Here is a 20702-nt window from a genome sequence, read left to right on the forward strand (position 1 = left end):
CCCAAGGCTGACTGAATTTGAATCTGCATTTCGTTAACATTCCCAGGTGATTCTATCACTTCAAAGTTTGAGAAGCACCCATCTGATGGGTTCCCAGAACGATTTTTTAAAGTATAAATAAAGAGATGTCTCTAATTGGCAAACATGCTTCAATGGCTTTCTATTGCTCCTGGAATAAAATGCAAATTTAGGCTGTGGCATACAAAGATCTGTATCATTCAAACCTCCCCTGTCCCTTCAGCTTTAAACTCTTTTTTCCTGGCTTTCTATGCAGCAAAAACACTGACCTCCTTTCAGATTTCTGAACTTGCCATGTCCTTTCCACATTTAGTCTAACTCTCTCAATCATCTGCAGTGCTCTTACCCTAAATCTTGGTGAGCCTGACTCATTTTCATTCCTCAGGTCTCAGCTCAAATACCACTGCTATAGAGAAAACCTGCTGACTTCTGCTGATCATCCTGACTAATGTGGCCATCATGGCTTTTCCCCTAACTCTATTACAACACCCTTGTTATATTTCATTACGGTAATAATCATAATGTGCAGTTATATTGTTGGTCTACGTGTTTATTGTCAATGTGTTTATTGTCTATATCTCCACCTAGGATACAGGCTTTACGAGGTCAGAGGTATTGTTTGTTTAGTGGACAGCTTTATTCTTAGTGCTTAGAATAATGACTGGCCTATAATAGTCAGTCAAAAAAATATTCACTAAATGATAAATGGATGGATGTTATTTGGCCCTCCTCTTTCCTTTTTTCCTTCCTCTCAGTCTCACCCTAGCAACTTTGACCTCTTTTTGTGTTCTCTCTGCTTCATTATGTGGGGCAGCTCAGTTCTTTCTCACCCTTGCTCCCAGACTCAAAACCCAGCCTTTCTGTGCTCAGTGAACTCTGGTCAAATAGTTAGATCCATTCAGGGTCTCAGCCTTTCCTCACTAAAGTGACCTCACTTTATCAGATGTGATCTGAAGCACTTAGTCAACTCTAAAGGCTAGTAACACATGATGAAATATCTAAATGAAGAAAAAAACACTTAAAACATTTTAGAAAGTATAAAAGTAACTTCTCAAGTCCAATAATTATGAGCTGAAGTCAAAGTTATAATTCAAATTACTGTAAGAGTAAATGCCCCTCAGGAAACAAATTCAAATAAATAGCCTTGGTAGACGTGTTGTAGATCAGATTTTTAAAAGATCTGGTTTAAAGATATTTACGTTCAAAGGACTGGTTCATAATTACCCTGCTTTTGACCATCTGTGTAGTGGCTATTAGGCTTCTCAAAAGATTAATAGTCATTTGAGTTGGTAACACTAATTTCCCAGAAGGAGTCTTTATTTCATTAAAGTATATTATAAAATTGCTCAAGCATTTTATTGGAAGTGATGGTTAATTACCTATGGGGCTATATACATTACATCCTTCAAAAAAAGGTCTCTTCCAGACTAGTTTGGAGAAACTTATCTTTCTCACATGTAGTTCAAGCCTTTACTATAGTAGAGAAGGGTGTTATCAGTTCTTGGTTTTTTTTCCCTCTTCCTGCAAGCTAATAAGTGTGTTGTTTCATCCAGGTTTTCAGTAAAGACATGAGACTCCTTAGTCAGAGACAAAGGATTTTGTTACTTATGGCACAGCAAACAGCCTAAACATTAGTAAGTTCACTTCAGTTACTCTTTCCTTAAGTCCCCAAAAGATGATACAGTGAGTGCTGATGAGTAGTTTGCATGCAGTGGTGCTGTGTCATAGATGAGGAACTCTGAGCCTGGGAAATTTATAGCAACAGTAAACAGTAAGCCAGCTTGCTCTTTGTCGTACAGGGAGTCATTAACTCATCCCTTAAGGTTGATTGCTGCAAGCCTAACTCTGAAAAGTGGTCCTGGTAGGGAGGTCATGGCTTTACACTATTGGCATACCCAGCAGGTCATGTAGGGGTACAAGAGACTCATAGTGGACTGTCTTTCAACACTATCCACTCCATGGTCTTATGTCATGTTAGCTGCTGGAAATTTTTCTTATGAGTATTCCACTCCATCAGTCATTCTGATTAATTTGACTAGAGAGGTAGAGAGTAAACGCATAGAATTTGTCTTACACAAGATTTAATTAAGGCTACTGTCAGTAGAACTCTAAGCATGAAGAGGAGACCAACCTGCAATAGCAACCTCAATCATGCCTCATAGGATCCTAGATTCTCCCAGCTGTGAATAAGTCCCAAAGTACAGACAGCTAGGATATAGTGTATTATTTAATATGACCTACACATGGAAATTTAGACTGACATGCTGATCTTTGTTTTAATTGCCAAAAAGTTAACTATTATTCCCAATATAGAGATCTCCTATGGTCCCTATTCCCCAGACATAAACATAACCAAAGGTGCCGAAATTAATCCAGTTTGAAATTTATTGCTACACTTTATTTGGGTCAGCATTAGTTCACTTTGGTTAGGCTATATGAGCAGGGTCAGTGAGTATTTGAAACTTCTGTAGGCATTCATGGTATAACCCAAGACAGTCCAGACACCAGGGGAAAAATACACGTTTGTATGAATCAGATTGAGAAAATGTTGTGCTGATTCCTGTGTTTTCACACTTAAGAGGATGGGGAATCTGTATTGGGAAGCTGCCATTCATGTTGTAGAAATGTTCAGGAGAGGCCATATTCACAGGAGTTTTTCTGTTTTCATGGAATGTGGAAGGAGATGACAAACCAACACACAACCAAACTATATGGTTGCCTTGCCAGGCTGTGTGCTTCATCTAGCATACAAAGAGAGCATTAATCCTCACTCGCTTCACCTCCAGTGGTCCAAGATTTTCCCTTCCTAGGTGTCAGTGTTGTTGCTCTTTTTATCCACAATCACAAAATTTGTTCATCCCATTCTAGTAGCTAAAGCTTTGCCTTTATTGTGGTCGGTTCCTAGTCATACTCAAACTTTTTGTCTAGAACAATAAATAGAGGAAAAAGGTATTTTATGACATTTATATATACCCATTTTATTTATTACCTGGGCCCTCGTGGACCATTGTACAATAATTCCTAGAGCAGAACACTCAAATTAATGATAGTTAACCTCATAATATATGACCATGTTTGTCCAACAAAAGAATCCAGGTGGCTGAACCAGAATTCAGTTTTAATACCATTCTGACCATGTTGCTACCAGGACAGTAAACCTACCAGGCTGTTCTAAGGTTGCTGTTAGGAGAAAAAAAGAAGCATCATGCCTTCCACTTCTAGAAAGTTAGAGAAGGTATACTTTTTTTCCATTCATCTCGTTACATACAGCTAATGATTCTGGATATTACAGATGTTCCTTGACTTACAATGGGATTGCTTCCCCCTAAATGCATTATAAGTTGAAAACACTGTAAGTAAAAAGTACATTTAATACACCTAGTATGCTGAACAACATAACTTAGCCTAGCCTATCTTAGATGTGCTCAGAACACTTACAGTAGCCTATGGTTGGGCAAAATCATCCCTAACAAAGCCTATTTTATAATGAAGTGTTGAATATCTCATGTAATTTATTGAATACTGTACCAAAAGGGAAAAACAGAATAGTTGTATATGTACATAAAGTTCAGTTTCTACTGATTGTGTACTGCTTTCATACCACTGAAAAATTATAATTCAAACCATCATAATCTGTGCATAAGATAAAAAAATTAAAAGATTCTAAAAAGTGGGGAGAAAAAGCCCAACTGGTTAAGAAATTTCAGAAACGCTAAAGCAGTGAGTTCCATGAGTTTCCTTTTGCCTCATACAATCAGGAGTAGCCACTGACCTGGAAATGTTAGTGAATATGTACAAAAAAGCCCAAAGACCAGGCTTTTGCTTTCTTTAGCCAAAAAACCAGGAGAATAACAGACTGTCAAGACACAAAACTGAAAGACTATAACCAGTTTACTCCAGCCAAATACCACAGAAAGATTTACAGCTACCAAGCACATCTTTAGTCAATAAAAAAGTAGTTGCAACCTGGTAGGAGAATTTGTGTTATTTTTAACTTACCTTTGCTCCATCTCCTCATCACTGGCTTTAAGACAGTCTTTAAATTACATCCTCCATTCCAAGTATGGGTTCCTGGTGCTAGAAGAAGCAGAGTGGACCTTGTTATATCAAAGTAGTGCTTGATTACTTTGACCTCTCCAGTGGCTCATTGAAGGGCTAATTCAAAGGGCTTGCCTGTGTTTCACACAACTCAAAATCCCCTCAGGGTGGAGAATTGGCTACAGAGAAAAGTTTTTTTCTAAAAAACAATTTGCTAAAGGGACTTAACAGCAGGTAGGAGAAAGAATCTACAAATGTGAAGATAAGCCAAATAAAATTATTCAGTCTAAGAAGCAGAAGGAAAAAAGAATGAAAAAATATATACCTAAGAGCTTAAATGACCTGTGGGACATTAACAATAGCACAGACATAAGTATAACAGAATTCCCAGAATGGGAGGAGTGACAGAAAGATTCAGGAAAAATATTTGTGATATGATGACCCTAAACTCCCCAAATTTGATAGAAGACATGGATCTACACATCCAAGAAGTTCAAAAAGGACTAAGTAGAATGAAGGCAAAAAAATTCACAGTGAGACATATTATGATCAAATTGTTTAAAGAAAAAGACAAATTGAGAACTTGAAAGCTGCAAGAGAGAAGTGAGTAGCCACATGCAAGAGATCCTTAATAAGATTAGCAGTCAATTGTTCATCAGAAACCATGGAAGCCAGAAGGCAGTAGGATGGTATAAAGTGTTTAAAGAAAAAAGTTGTCAACCACCAATTTATATCTGGTAAAACTATTGTTCTAAAACAAAGGAGAAATTAAAACAGCCCCAGATAAACAAAAACTGAGTGTATTCATCACTTGCAGACCTGCTCTATGAGAAAATCTAAAGGGAATCTTTCAGACAGAAAAGAAATGACACTAGACACTTGGAGCCATACAAAATAATGAACAATGATGAAGGTAATTACATAAATAAGAATAAATGCCAATATTTTTGTAGTTTTTGTTTATAACTCCCATTTTCCCCTAAATTATTTAACAAACTAGTGGATAAATAATAATTATAGATACATATTAATAGGAGCACAATGGGTAAAGATGCTTGTGTTTTTGCAGGTGTATAAAAATCTCCTTTGTTGTTTTTCATAGTACAACTTCTGTATTTCAAATGAACACAAAATTAGTAGCATTTGCAGTAGTATCTTAAAATAAATTGCCTTTGAATAAAATCTTGCTTTCCAATACTTTGAGGTCCACGAGACATTTCTAGAAAATTTTATGCCATGGAAAATGAAGACCACTTAATCCAGTGGAGAAGGGGAGTGTGATTTCTCTTTGATTGATTGCCATAACACTGTCCTTAAGGCATATGAAGGAGAGTTCTATATGTCATCTAGACATTATTAGGCACAGAAGCTTTTTCAGTACAACTTTGATGTTATGTAAAGTGTGTCATCTTGCTAGCACTGATATCGCTCTTGGGTACAACATTAGATCTATTGACCCATACTATTTTTGTTACAAATATTCAAAAGGTGATTTTTTTCTACAAGGACTGTGCTTCAACTCCACATTCAATTTTAAAAGTTATATATTTTTTTAAATAAATTTTCCAAGACTGTGGCGACTGCCATCTTGGGTTGCTCCTTCTTTGGTTTTTACAGTTACTGAGAAATGGCTTTTGTGATTTCTGCCACTTGCAACGTACTCTTAGAGAAAGGGATTTCGATATTAGTATATTCTCTTTCATTCTATTTCCTATGAAGTTGTTGGTGGGAATAGAAAAGACCTGCCCAAGCCATCATTGATGGATACTGGCTACATGGTCCTTGAGTAGAAAAGAGCCTGCATCCTTCATGGCCTCCAGCCACAAGCTTCTGCAAGGAAACAAAGCATGTTATGAACAAGAGGAGGAACAGTAGTTGTTTGTGCTTCTTTCTCTGTAGACACAATTAAGTTTCTTGCATAGATAACCCTTCATAGATCTGATTTTCTGTTTAGGTTGAGATGGAAAGGCAGAAAGAGACACCAAATTTATAACTTTTGGAAATTAATTTGAAGATATGAGCTTTTTACAAGAAAGGCAACGAGAGAAACTAGAAAAATAAACAGTCACACAAGATGTCATTGAAAGTCTATGTACTACTTCCTAAACATACTTTGTGTACTCACTTCCCAAGGGTAAGATGGGTACTGCACACAGAGGCAGCCCACCCTAAGGGAAGGATCATGGGAAAGGGGAAAGCCTATAAAGCTCTAGGGTCAAGGTTAAACACTGCGCTTTACCTCAGTGCCGGGCTTGGCTCTCTTCCAAGTGTACCTTCCTTTCTTTCCTATTCTAAAGCCTTTTAAAATAAATTTCCACCCTTGCTCTGAAAAAAAAAAAAAAAGAAAGGCTATGTACTGAAGGCAGGTTTATCTCTATTATACCAACCCATGTAAGTACTGTTTTGACATGCATGTGTCATTGGTGCAAGATGCAATGGCTATTCCCAAGCCCCTCTATTCCCTGGTCTTGTTAAAAAATGTTGCTAAGGCTGTGAGCTAGAACCATGCTTGTTAAGCTAGATTTTAGGTCATTCTGTTTTGAAAGAATTATTTTGAATTACAAGAAACTTCTTTAAAAATTGGAGATAACAGAATGGTATAGGGATGTGTGGCCTGACATGAAGAGCTATGCAATGTGAAATGCTCCTTGAATTGCAAGAATCTCACCTAAATTTTTATAATAGAATACTTCATGACTGTTATTTCAGTGTAGGAAAGTGGCTATTAGAAACAACTGCTCTTACTCATACAACAATTGCCATTTGATATCATACACATACACACATAAACATCCCCACAGACATTAACTTGGAGCATTTGCTTCTCAAATTTTTAACTGATGTGTCAGATTTTTAAAGTGACTTGTTTACATAATAAGGCTCTACATTTTGAGTATATGTTTGATCACTATCATGATTCCACAAGATGGCAGTGTGTTCTTAGGGACCTTGAGGACAGCTCTCAAGTGCTCGTGTGTGTGTGTGTGTGTGTGTGTGTGTGTGTGTGTGTGTGAGAGAGAGAGAGAGAGGAGGAGGAGGAGGAGGAGGAAGGATGAGGGGAGGGGCTTAGTGGTGAATTAGGGGTGTTAAAAAGAGCATCATTTTTTTGAACTGGTAAAGCAGATTCTTTTTATGATTTTTAAAGTAGAAATATCCATTCTAGGTGCATTTTTTAAGGGTTTAAAATTTGAATCCTCAGTGAACCAGGGCAGAGAAGAATGATGAAATCCTTGAGAGTTTTACTAGTGATCCTGTGGCTTCAGTTGAGCTGTGAGTTTGGGGCATCTTTATATAGGAAAATAATGTACAGTATCTGGAGTTACTGTCTATTCTAGATCTATAGGTAGAAGCATGATTTTTTTTCTAACTAAGGGAAAGTAGGGGCACCAGTGAAAAGAGGATTTAAATTCTGGGGAGTAAGCATCTATTACCCAGCCAGTCTTCTCTGTCTGACCACTGTCTTTTTCACAGGGGTTTGGAGCCAACAGAAGGAGGTGGAGCAGAATTCTGGACCCCTCAGTGTTCCAGAGGGAGCCATTGCCTCTCTCAACTGCACTTACAGTGACCGAGGTTCCCAGTCCTTCTTCTGGTACAGACAATATTCTGGGAAAAGCCCTGAGTTGATAATGTTCATATACTCCAATGGTGACAAAGAAGATGGAAGGTTTACAGCACAGCTCAATAAAGCCAGCCAGTATGTTTCTCTGCTCATCAGAGACTCCCAGCCCAGTGATTCAGCCACCTACCTCTGTGCCGTGAACACACAGTGCTCCCCAGACACCTGCAGTCTGTACCCAAACCTGCCATGCCCCAGGAATGCCTGATGTAGAGCTTAGACTGCAGGGTAGTGAAACTCCCCTTGCTCTCTAGTTTCAAGTGGAAATTATAAGAACCAGTATGGAGGATTAATTAATTAGGGAAGTATTTTCATAATTCTGAAAATAATTGAAACCCTGAAAAAAATAAAAACAAAAATCTTGGTCTGGTTGACATATTTTTTAGTCCTGTTTTTCCACTATAGTTTTAAATATTTTTTTAATTGAGGTCTGACTGATAAACAAAAAAGTATGTGTATTTACTTTATACATACAGCACAAACTATGCCATAACATATCCATAATTTCTAAAAGTTTACTTCCTCCCTCCTTTTTTAAAAATTGAGGTATGATTGCTATATAAAAAGGCACACATATTTAATGTATACATCCCGATGCTCAGTCTAGTTTTATGCCACCTCTTTATGAGATTGGTTTTATGGTTTTTAAATTACATAACAAGAAAATATTTTCACACAATGACAGATATTCTCTCATAGTTCCCAGGACACCTTCGTCTTTCCTTCTTTAGTTACTCAAAGTGTTTGAAAGTCATTAATTTGGGAATGCAACAGCAAAACAGGAATGCAAAGCAGAGAAAAACTCACAAACAAATGACTTCAAAAATTCTACAAGTCAAAAATTCTTTTTTTTTTTTTTTTTGAGATGGAGTCTGGCTCTGTCGCCCAGGCTGGAGTGCAGTGGCGCGATCTGGGCTCACTGTAAGCTCCGCCTTCCAGGTTCACGCCATTCTCCTGTCCCAGCCTCCCGAGTAGCTGGGAATACAGGCGCCTGCCACCACACCGGCCACCATGCCCGGCTAATGTTTTGTATTTTTTTTTTTAGTAGAAACGTGGTTTCACCGTGTTAGCCAGGATGGTCTCGATCTCTTGACCTCGTGATCTGCCCGCCTCAGCCTCCCAAAGTGCTGGGATTACAGGTGTGAGCCACCACCCCCAGCCAAAAATTCTTTTAATTATAGAAACCTCACCTCATCTCCAGCCTCAGCCACAGCACTACTCCTGATTTATGTAAGGGTATATTTCATGGATAGATGGAAGAACTACAGTCAGAGGGTAAGACCTGGTTAAAACTAGAAGTCTAGATAGTTGCAGTGACTAAATATTAGAAAAGGTCTATGTTGCCATTTTGGGGTAAAGTCTGAACTGAACTCAAAACTCCTGGCTTGAGCCTTGTAAAAGAATATATTAATACCTTTGTACTTAAGTGTGGCTTGGAGATGATAGGGAGCATTAGCCCTAGCCACAGCATGCCATATCTCCAGTCAGGGCATGGGAGCATGGAACAATCTAAAATTCATTGAGAAGGATCTCTGAGTAAGTATCTTAAAGAGGTCCAGACACTAAGGGGTTTTAGTATAATGAGCAAAGACCTGTGTGAATCAATTCCCAAAGACTATATGGTATTGAGAATGTTTCAGCAAATTTTCGTCAGGAGAGTTGGAAATGCTGAACAGCATATAAATGCCTCCCTCCGCTGACTACCTGGCATTATAGATTTGTCCTGCAATGTATGCCAAGTCCACGAAAAATATTTACTTCCTAATGAAAATAATGCCATTTAATATTTAGTACATTGAGTTATAGGAAAAAGCTTGAAAAGTGACATTTATTGTAAAACCGAATTTGTGGACTGTTAGTCATGACATTGTTTAGGTAGTACAGGAGGTGGAAAAATTTTGGAAATGAAGAATCAAGATTTCTATTCAGTTAGTTCACGTAGTTACTGATGAAAGATGCAAGCCAATCAACAGTTGCTTCAAACTGTTAATTTACAGAACTGAAGATTTAAGAAATTTTTCCAAGTCATGTAAGATTTGTAAGGCAGTGAGGATGATCAGAAAGTTGTACTGAAATAAAAATACTTAAATTTTAGTGCCACTTTTATCATATGCCTTCAGGCACCCTGGCACTCTGGAAAGACCCTGGGCTGCCATGCTCGTTTGAATATCAATTATGTTGCTAACAGGCCGTTTATATTAAGCTGTACTATTATATATATTTCAGGTTTGGATTTAGGATTAAATGAGATGAAATATTGTCTTGGGATAAGTTCATTAGAAGCAGAGCCTGAATTGGAAATTCTTTATCCATAATTGATTGAGAAAACCGGGTCGAGATGGGAAAAGGCTAAGCATAAACGTGCCAGCTAGTGGAGTCTTTATCCACCCTGACCTCATGGGAGCTCTGGAGCATGAATTGCATCACAGGATTGATCCTTTCCACACTGAGGCAAGGGGGCCAGAATGCTGACCTATTGTACGTAAGAATAAAGTCGTCATTGGCTGTGGTGTTTCTTGGGGTAGAGGTATACTCTACTGGACAATGATGACTCTCATTGGCAGAGGTCGATTTTCTAGGGAAAGGGGCAACTGTGAGCTGAGAGTAGCCAACATTCCCAACAGTAATAGCGACAGGAGACAGACAAATTCCTACGCAGACATGGACAGATCCCCGGTGAAACCCGGCCTTCAAGCCAAGGACAGTTCAAAGCCTTAAAACCGATCTGCCAGTTCTGGATAGAATACATAGCCAGAGTGAGAACTTGAATCCCCACTCTTGCCCACTCTCTCGATTGGTTCCTTCTGGATGATGCCTTTTAACCAATCAAATGGTGCTTTTTCCAAGACCACCTATGGACCAATCAGCATGCACTCCCCCATTCTAAGCCCATAAAAACACTCGGCCTTAGCCTCACAGAGGGCTACACACTTTGGGTCCCGTCTTGCTTACCAGAGGTTTCCTGTCACTCAGTAAAATTCTCCTCTGCCTTGCTCACTCTTTGGTGTCTGTGTACCTCATTCCTCTTGGCCAGTGGGACAAGAATCTGGAATCCACCGAACTGTGGGAGTGAAAAGAGCTGTAACACCCTCTCCCACTCGCTGAACTACGGGAGTGGAAAAGCCTCTGGATGCCATTTCCTCCTGCTCTCCGAACTACAGGAAGAAAAAAGCCATGACAGTAGCTGGGGATGGCGACACTGTCCTGGGAAAGGGGATCTTGGCTGGGCACAAGCAGTGTTCACTATTAACATGGAACTCACCTGGCATATGGGCAGCATTCAAGAAATAATAGACTTTGTAATTATATTCTGAATTTTAATTTCATTCTCCATTTGAAGGAGTTTATATAGCTGGCTTTCCCGATCTTGAAGAGTTGAAATAATGTTAGGTTAAAGCACTTCTTCTTCTTCTTTTTTTTTTTTTTTTTTGCACTAATCACATGTAGTGATTTTATTTTTTATATATTTTTATTTTTTTCTTTATTTCTTCTAAAAAAAAACAGGATACATGTGCAGAACATGCAGTTTGTTACATATGTATACATGTGTCATGGTGGTTTCCTGCACCTATTGACCGGTCTTCTATGTTCCCTCAGGCTAAAGCACTTCTTAACAGAAAGCATCTAAATAAAGGTAAAGAAATATTATTCAAAGCTAAAACTCAAGATATTTTAAGAATAATGACTAAGGAACCACTATGTTATCTTACTTCCTTTTGAGAATGATTACATGACATTCTGTTCATCACTTTGTATTGAGGTAGAAATGACTCTGATGATTCACAGTTCATGACTCTGGGCTTCCATGTATAGAGACAACAACAGAAAGAGATCCCATCTATACTTATACATGATTAATGCTATTTTGTTATTAATTTGTATTTAAGAATGGAGGACTGGGTAACAGGATGGACTCTTCATGTCACTGTGCCCATGTTCCCCACAAGGTTTCTTCTGGAATGGGGTGCCTGGCCAGTAGTGTGGGTATGTGGGCATATCATGTGATTTGGCAGGCTTCTTTTTAGGATGAATGAACAGGGAAGTGGTAATTAAGTTGCTCCTCTTTGTTCCTTGCACCTAATATCATTGAAGATGGCCTAATTCTGTCAACCACTCATAATAAAACTGCAGTAATCCCAGCGGTTCATTTAAACTCTTGTGAAAATTAAATACCCAAGTAAAAGTTGGCTTACTATGCCTATCACACACAAGTACAGAAGCAGGATGGTGAGAACGGAGGGAGGCTAGTGTAGCTATTCCATGTGTGGACCTTCAGTATGTTCTCTTGTGTTCTGTTCTTCCCACTCTCCATCACCTACTTTCTTTCTCAACCCGGAACCTCTCCAGGGTCTCACCCAGTAGGTTCCCTTCACTTGCATTTCCACTGCAATCTTCTCATAGTTCATTCTGGGCTGGACTTCTCCCCCTTCTCTGTTTCATCCATCAGTGTGCTCACATCTACTTTTCATTTCATGGGAATTGTGATAGCTTTCATCTTTTCATTATTACTTTTACCATTATGGATTCAAGTCATTCTTTTTATACTTCTAAATTTTATTTCAGTGGGAATATTGGAAAGATAAGACGAGAATACATATGCTTCTTAGGAATTTTGAATCAGAAGCACATCCTAGTAACATTTAAATGTTCAAACTGGCTATATGATTTTGTCTTACACATAAAAAATCTATAGGCAGAATCAAGGAATAGATCAGAAGTGCAAGGGAGAACTGATTTCAGGCTGGCGTGAGTGAACAGAGTACACAGAAAGGAGGGATTTTGTTCTGACCTTGTGAAAAGAATCCTTGTTGGCCAGGTTCTCATTTCACCTGAGATTTCTCTCCTCATTTGGTTTTTTAAGTTTTAGGGTCCAATGATCTCTATGCTAAAATAAGTTGGATGAAGATGGCTTCTTATTCAAGAGTTTCATCTTTTTAGGCCAGAGGCGACCGCTCCAGTTCAATACAGCCTATCTCCCACTCACAGGGGACTACTGCTTGCCTAGCTCTGTTGAGTATCACTGTCAATCTCTCCCAGATTTTCTATACCTCCCACAAGGTCCTCTCATTTCTTGTCTGCTGGTTGCATTCCTCCCAATTTTCTGAGTTAACACAGGTTTATTTTACTTTTCTTTTCCTAACTCTTCCCAGGATTATTTATTTGTTATATTTTCTTACACTCATCATTCCACTCAAGTTTTTCCATAGATGGGCCTCTGTTAATGTTCTTTTTAGTGTGAGATATAATTTGGCATGATGTATCAGACTGTAGGAGCTTTGACAATTGGAACATGATTCTTTTTAAACATGAAGTACCTAAGTTGTTTTTTCCTAGAGTTACAAATATCGAAGTTATTGACCTGAAACCAAGGGGCCTCTTTAACATTTTTGCTTAACAAAAAAAATTTTGCTTTATTTGTTTGCTTTGATTAATTAATTAGTGACATGTGATCCATGCTGATTTTAAGTATGAGACTCAGGTCTAGTTTGTTTATTTTTTTAAGAATCAAATAAGGAATAATCTCTTTCACCCACCGTAATGCTGACATTCAGAAACACAGGGCCATATGAAACTCAGCCCAGACTGAGGCAACTGATCACCTCCCTTCTCCTTGATGAATGGTTTTACAAAATAATATAGAGTGTCTCAATGGTATTCCAAAGTCTAGAATGTTGTCTTCTGTGACTAGTTGCTCAGTAAAGTAAATTAGTCTTCTATTTTTACATTACTCTCATTTCTCATGTATTTAGGATTAAAACCATGTACTCTACAGAAGGTGACGTCATCACAGATTTGGGAAGAAAGAAACACTTTCTGTTGGTTTTGATACCACATTTCTCAAATGAGAAGCAAACAGTTCACTTCCTTGGATCCGTGGTTTCGCCTGTGGCCTTCAGGGGGCGACGTTGCACTAAGGAGGCATCTGTGTTCATTGCCGACCATCCTCATCCACTGAGCCTCCTCCCTGCAGCTGGCTGATGTAGCTCACTGGTGTCTGTGTAGATAGGGAGCTGTGATGAGAACAAGAGGTCAGAACACATCCAGGCTCCTTAAGAGAAAGCCTTTCTTTAACCATTTTTGAAACCCTTCAAAGGCAGAGACTTGTCCAGCCTAACCTGCCTGCTGCTCCTAGCTCCTGAGGCTCAGGGCCCTTGGCTTCTGTCCGCTCTGCTCAGGGCCCTCCAGCGTGGCCACTGCTCAGCCATGCTCCTGCTGCTCGTCCCAGTGCTCGAGGTGATTTTTACCCTGGGTTAGTAACATTCCATTACCTTTCTTCCTTTTGTAAATGTGACTGTGTTGTAATTTTTTCTGAATAGAGACATCTTTTCTTCATAGCAAAGTCTGTGCTGCCTTTACTTACACAGCATTGGTGTTGCAGGAGGAACCAGAGCCCAGTCGGTGACCCAGCTTGGCAGCCACGTCTCTGTCTCTGAAGGAGCCCTGGTTCTGCTGAGGTGCAACTACTCATCGTCTGTTCCACCATATCTCTTCTGGTATGTGCAATACCCCAACCAAGGACTCCAGCTTCTCCTGAAGTACACATCAGCGGCCACCCTGGTTAAAGGCATCAACGGTTTTGAGGCTGAATTTAAGAAGAGTGAAACCTCCTTCCACCTGACGAAACCCTCAGCCCATATGAGCGACGCGGCTGAGTACTTCTGTGCTGTGAGTGACACAGTGCTTGAGACTGCAGGAGAGGTGAACATAAACCTCCTGAGATGCTGAGACTTTCTGTGACTCAAGAACTCAACCTTGAAGTCTGTTTTATAATATTAAATAGCATTTCCAAGTTTCTGATGCTTATTGATGTATGCTGTATCTTTTTCATCTATTTATTTTTAAACTATCTGTGACTTTAAAGTGTGTTTCCTGTAGGTAGCATAAAAGACCATCTTTTCTTTTTATCTACTTTGTTAATCTCTGTTTTTGCATTGTGAAGTTTAGATAATTAAAATGGAATATAAATATCAATCAGGTTGGATTTAAGTATACTTCATTATTGTGTTTCACCCATGTTCCTTTTTTTGTTCTTTTTTTCTGACTCCTTTTGGATTATTTAAATACTTTTCAATTTACATTTTAATTTATTTATGAACTTTTTGGCTATAACTCTGTACTTTTTGAGTAGTTGCTCTGAAGATGGCAATGTACATGCCTAAATATCCAGGGTCTTATGTGAGCAAATACTGTACCTCCTTATGTGAAATGTCAAAATCTTACACAACGTCTCTTTATCTACCAACACTAAAGTTTGTTATTGTTGTTCATATATATTAGTCACATACATTGAAAACTTCACCAGGCCTGGCACAGTGGCTCATGTTTGTAATCCCAACACTTTGGGAGGCAGAGATGGGAGGATTGCTTGAACTCAGGGGTTTCAGACCATCCTGAAACAAAGTGAGACCCCCATCTCTATGAAATATAAAAAAAATAGCTGGGTATGATGGCACTCATCTGTAGCCTCAACTACTCGGCAGGTTGAAGCATTATGATAGCTTGAGCCCAGGAGTTCGAGGCTGCAGTTAGCTACCATCATGCCACTGTATTCCAGCTTAAGCAATAGAGCGAGATCCTTGTCTCAATTTTTTTTTTTAAAAATCACAATATATAGAAAACTTCACCATATAATGTTATAATTTTTGCTTTCAACAATTATATGCACTTTATAAAATTTAAGGGGAAGAATAAGAACTATTTTATACTTAACAGCTATTTATCATTTCTGGTATCCTTCCTTTGTTCCTGAAGATCTGGATTTTCTCTGATACCAGGGGATATAACTGAAATTCCCTTCAAACTTAAAAACTCCCTTTAGCATTTCTTCTAGAGCAGATTTGCTGGGAAACATATTTTTCATTTGTTCATTACCTGAAAATGTATTTTTAACTTGCCTTTTATTTCTGGAAGATAGTTTTTACTGGGTCTGTAATTCTGTGTCAACCCTTCCACCCCTCCCGCTTTAAAGATACCATTTCATTGTCTTTTGGCCTCCATGCTTTCTAATAGAAATCCATTGCCATTCAAGTAATTGTCCTTCAATGATGTAATATATTGTTTTTCTCTAGCTGCTTCATATATAAGCTATGTACACACATACACACACACACACACACACAAACACATGAAAAATTATACAATCTTTTGTTGTCAGTGGTTTAATCATAATGTGTTTAGGTGTGGTTCTCTTTGATTTTACCTTGTTTGGGGCTTGAATTGATAAATGTATGTCTTTCGAGAGAAGAATCAAATAGACACAATAAAAAATGATAAAGGGGATATCACCACCGATCCCACAGAAATACAAACTACCATCAGAGAATACTACAAACACCTCTACGCAAATAAACTAGAAAATCTAGAAGAAATGGATAAATTCCTCGACACATACACTCTCCCAAGACTAAACCAGGAAGAAGTTGAATCTCTGAATAGACCAATAACAGGAGCTGAAATTGTGGCAATAATCAATAGTTTACCAACTAAAAAGAGTCCAGGACCAGATGGATTCACAGCCGAATTCTACCAGAGGTACAAGGAGGAACTGGTACCATTCCTTCTGAAACTATTCCAATCAATAGAAAAAGAGGGAATCCTCCCTAAATCATTTTATGAGGCCAGCATCATTCTGATACCAAAGCCGGGCAGAGACACAACCAAAAAAGAGAATTTTAGACCAATATCCTTGATGAACATTGATGCAAAAATCCTCGATAAAATACTGGCAAAACGAATCCAGCAGCACATCAAAAAGCTTATCCACCATGATCAAGTGGGCTTCATCCCTGGGATGCAAGGCTGGTTCAATATACGCAAATCAATAAGTGTAATCCAGCATATAAACAGAGCCAAAGACAAAAACCACATGATTATCTCAATAGATGCAGAAAAAGCCTTTGACAAAATTCAATAACGCTTCATGCTAAAAACTCTCAATAAATTAGGTATTGATGGGACGTATTTCAAAATAATAAGAGCTATCTATGACAAACCCACAGCCAATATCATACTGAATGGGCAAAAACTGGAAGCATTCCCTTTGAAAACTGGCACAAGACAGGGATGCCCTCTCTCGCCACTCCTATTCAACATAGTGTTGGAAGTTCTGGCCAGGGCAATCAGGCAGGAGAAGGAAATAAAGGGTATTCAATTAGGAAAAGAGGAAGTCAAATTGTCCCTGTTTGCAGACGACATGATTGTATATCTAGAAAACCCCATCGTCTCAGCCCAAAATCTCCTTAAGCTGATAAGCTACTTCAGCAAAGTCTCAGGATACAAAATCAATGTACAAAAATCACAAGCATTCTTATACACCAATAACAGACAAACAGAGAGCCAAATCATGAGTGAACTCCCATTCACAATTGCTTCAAAGAGAATAAAATACCTAGGACTCCAACTTACAAGGGATGTGAAGGACCTCTTCAAGGAGAACTACAAACCACTGCTCAAGGAAATAAAAGAGGATACAAACAAATGGAAGAACATTCCGTGCTCATGGATAGGAAGAATCAATATTGTGAAAATGGCCATACTGCCCAAGGTAATTTATAGATTCAATGCCATCCCCATCAAGCTACCAATGACTTTCTTCACAGAATTGGAAAAAACTACTTTAAAGTTCATATGGAACCAAAAAAGAGCCCGCATCGCCAAGGCAATCCTAAGCCAAAAGAACAAAGCTGGAGGCATCACACTACCTGACTTCAAACTATACTACAAGGCTACAGTAACCAAAACAGCATGGTACTGGTACCAAAACAGAGATATAGATCAATGGAACAGAACAGAGCCCTCAGAAATAATGCCGCATATCTACAACTATCTAATCTTTGACAAACCTGAGAAAAACAAGCAATGGGGAAAGGATTCCCTATTTAATAAATGGTGCTGGGAAAACTGGCTAGCCATATGTAGAAAGCTGAAACTGGATCCCTTCCTTACACCTTATACAAAAATCAATTCAAGATGGATTAAAGACTTAAACGTTAGTTCTAAAACCATAAAAACCCTAGAAGAAAACCTAGGCAGTACCATTCAGGACATAGGCATGGGCAAGGACTTCATGTCTAAAACACCAAAAGCAATGGCAACAAAAGCCAGAATTGACAAATGGGATCTAATGAAACTAAAGAGCTTCTGCACAGCAAAATAAACTGTCATCAGAGTGAACAGGCAACCTAAAAAATGGGAGAAAATTTTCGCAACCTACTCGTCTGACAAAGGGCTAATATCCAGAATCTATAATGAACTCAAACAAATTTACAGGAAAAAAACAAACAACCCCATCAAAAAGTGGGCGAAGGACATGAACAGACACTTCTCAAAAGAAGATATTTATGCAGCCAAAAAACACATGAAAAAATGCTCATCATCACTGGCCATCAGAGAAATGCAAATCAAAACCACAATGAGATACCATCTCACACCAGTTAGAATGGCAATCATTAAAAAGTCAGGAAACAACAGGTGCTGGAGAGGATGTGGAGAAATAGGAACACTTTTACACTGTTGGTGGGACTGTAAACTAGTTCAACCGTTGTGGAAGTCAGTGTGGTGATTCCTCAGGGATCTAGAACTAGAAATACCATTTGACCCAGCCATCCCATTACTGGGTATATATCCAAAGGACTATAAATCATGCTGCTATAAAGACACATGCACACATATGTTTATTGCGGCATTATTCACAATAGCAAAGACTTGGAACCAACCCAAATGTCCAACAATGATAGACTGGATTAAGAAAATGTGGCACATATACACCATAGAATACTATGCAGCCATAAAAAAGGATGAGTTCATGTCCTTTGTAGGGACATGGATGAAATTGGAAATCATCATTCTCAGTAAACTATCACAAGAACAAAAAACCAAACACCACATATTCTCACTCATAGGTGGGAACTGAACAATGAGATCACATGGTCACAGGAAGGGGAATATCACACTCTGGGAACTGTGGTGGGGTGGGGGGAGGGGGGAGGGATAGCATTGGGAGAGATACCTAATGTTAGATGACAAGTTAGTGGGTGCAGTACACCAGCATGGCACGTGTATACATATGTGACTAACCTGCACAATGTGCACATGTACCCTAAAACTTAAAGTATAATAATAAAAAAAAGATAAATGTATGTCTTTCACTGAATTTGGCAAGCTTTTGGCCATTCTTTCTTCAAATATGTTTTCTGACCCAATATCTTTCTTCTCTCCCTCTAGGACTCCAGTTAGATATAACTTAGACTTTCGAATATTTTCCCACAGGTCTCCAGGGCTCTGCCTTTTTTTCTTTCAATTTTCAAATTGATTTTAAGGTTTGTCAGTGTTTCCTGACCTTGGCACTACTGACATTTTGGTCCTCATAATTTTTTATTGGGGTGTGGGGCTGCCCTGTGTGTTGTAGAATTTTTAACAACACCACTGGCTTCTCCACACTAGATGCCTGTAGCACTACATACCCCAAGTTGTGAAGGCCAAAATTGTGTCCAGATTTGCCAAATGTCTCCTGGGGGAAGACAAAGTCAAAATTAATTGGATTAAATAATCTGTATTGATCTTTTTCAATTTTGCATATGCTTTCCTCTATCATTTTGCTACTGAGCCCTTACTGTAAGATTTTTATTTTTGATATTGTATTTTTCTGTTCAATTTCTATTTTTTTCTTTACTTTGTGGAACATAATCAAAAGAGCTACTTTGACATCTTTTTCTATGAGTTTTAGTATCTTAGTCATCTTGGTATTTGAATTTGTTGATCTTTTACTTAAATATTAGTTCATTTTTCTGGCCCTTTGTCAAATAATTTTGAAGTACATCTTAAACATTTCAAATATTATGTGTGTACACTCTGTTTTCTCCTCCTCTTCCTTCTTCTTCTTTAAAAAACAATCATCTAAAGAATGTTAATGTTTTTATTTGAGGAGAAAATCAACCTAGTTTGGTTTATACTACTAGTTGTGTCTCCCCTTTTGTGGAATTTGGTAGCTCAAAATCACAGTTCAGTTCTCTAATCATTTGCCATGTTGGTTTGGGTTTATACCTGTCGTGTGTAGCTCAGGGATTAGTGAAACCAGTTTGCATGGCTCAAATCTCAGGTCAGTTCCTGAACTCTCTGCTACATTGGTTTTAGTTTGTCCTGCATGGGTGCCACTTGGGGGTAGTCTGAGACTGGAATAGTGGTTCAAATATCAGTTAAGTAACCTAAAATTTGTTGTTCTGGTTTGAGTCAGTTTCACGTATGTAGAGCCTTGGGATTAGCCTGAGACTTAAACTATTTTCCATCTCTTCCCTAGGGTCTCCCTTTTCTAGCCTGACCCACAGAGGCAGAAAATTGTGTTTCTTGCAGAGTTTTGACTTCCTACACCATTATCATATTGCTGTGTGCATTGGGGCCTCCCTCAGGGCAAAGCCAAGAGAAAGAAACAGAAAAAATATGAAATTCACCCTTGTGCAGGTTGTTTCTCCAATTTTTGACTTCCCTACACAATCTGCTAGCTTTTGGGTAATTTCAGAGTCCACAGGTAGTTTCTTTTTTTAAATTTTTTTATTGTTTATTTATTTTTTATTTTGTTCAGTTTTTACTTACAATCCATGGCAGAGATTGGCCGTAGGTATCTTAAAGTTATCTCCTATTCTACTGTGGTCCTGCATTAATTTGTGGTTCTCGATAATATTAATCAAGAATGGCTATTTGGCGTGTGCTTTTACCACCATCTTTAGTTGTATTACCCTTTTTAGTTAATCTAATTCATTTTTTATATTTGCAAATTTTTCTCATCAAGATTATAAGACCATTTAATTAAGCTCTTAAATTTTTTTGATATTTCATTTCTTATTTTCCAAATTTATGAAGGTCTTTCTTTGGTGCAAAAGAATTGAGAATGCATACTTGTTTTTATAAATAATTCAAGTACTATATTTTTTCCTAAAGTCTAAAAATTTTTGTATTCTGAATTATATCTGGATTTAAGAGTATGTTAAGGCATAGTAGGACTATTCAAACACTATTTTTTTTAGTACATAAAACA

The 20702-nt window shown here is 38.3% G+C and overlaps 2 gene segments (V, D, J or C) and 1 further gene, besides 8 other annotated features; all 3 read left to right on the plus strand.

The window, feature by feature from the left end:
• TRA (T cell receptor alpha locus) overlaps positions 1-20702 on the plus strand; it is a 930229-nt gene that overhangs the window by 258781 nt on the left and 650746 nt on the right.
• Positions 7275-7326: a sequence feature (TRAV12-2 leader sequence).
• TRAV12-2 (T cell receptor alpha variable 12-2) lies at positions 7275-7818 on the plus strand. The segment is given in 2 exon segments: positions 7275-7326; positions 7528-7818. Coding segments are annotated over 2 exon segments (343 nt in total), but the record flags the coding sequence as incomplete, so codon positions are not given.
• Positions 7528-7541: a sequence feature (TRAV12-2 leader sequence).
• Positions 7826-7848: a recombination feature (spacer).
• Positions 7849-7857: a recombination feature (nonamer).
• Positions 13877-13922: a sequence feature (TRAV8-4 leader sequence).
• TRAV8-4 (T cell receptor alpha variable 8-4) lies at positions 13877-14346 on the plus strand. The segment is given in 2 exon segments: positions 13877-13922; positions 14052-14346. Coding segments are annotated over 2 exon segments (341 nt in total), but the record flags the coding sequence as incomplete, so codon positions are not given.
• Positions 14052-14062: a sequence feature (TRAV8-4 leader sequence).
• Positions 14354-14375: a recombination feature (spacer).
• Positions 14376-14384: a recombination feature (nonamer).

Source organism: Homo sapiens, chromosome 14 (genome assembly GCF_000001405.40).
Source record: "Homo sapiens chromosome 14, GRCh38.p14 Primary Assembly".
Lineage (NCBI taxonomy): Eukaryota > Metazoa > Chordata > Mammalia > Primates > Hominidae > Homo > Homo sapiens.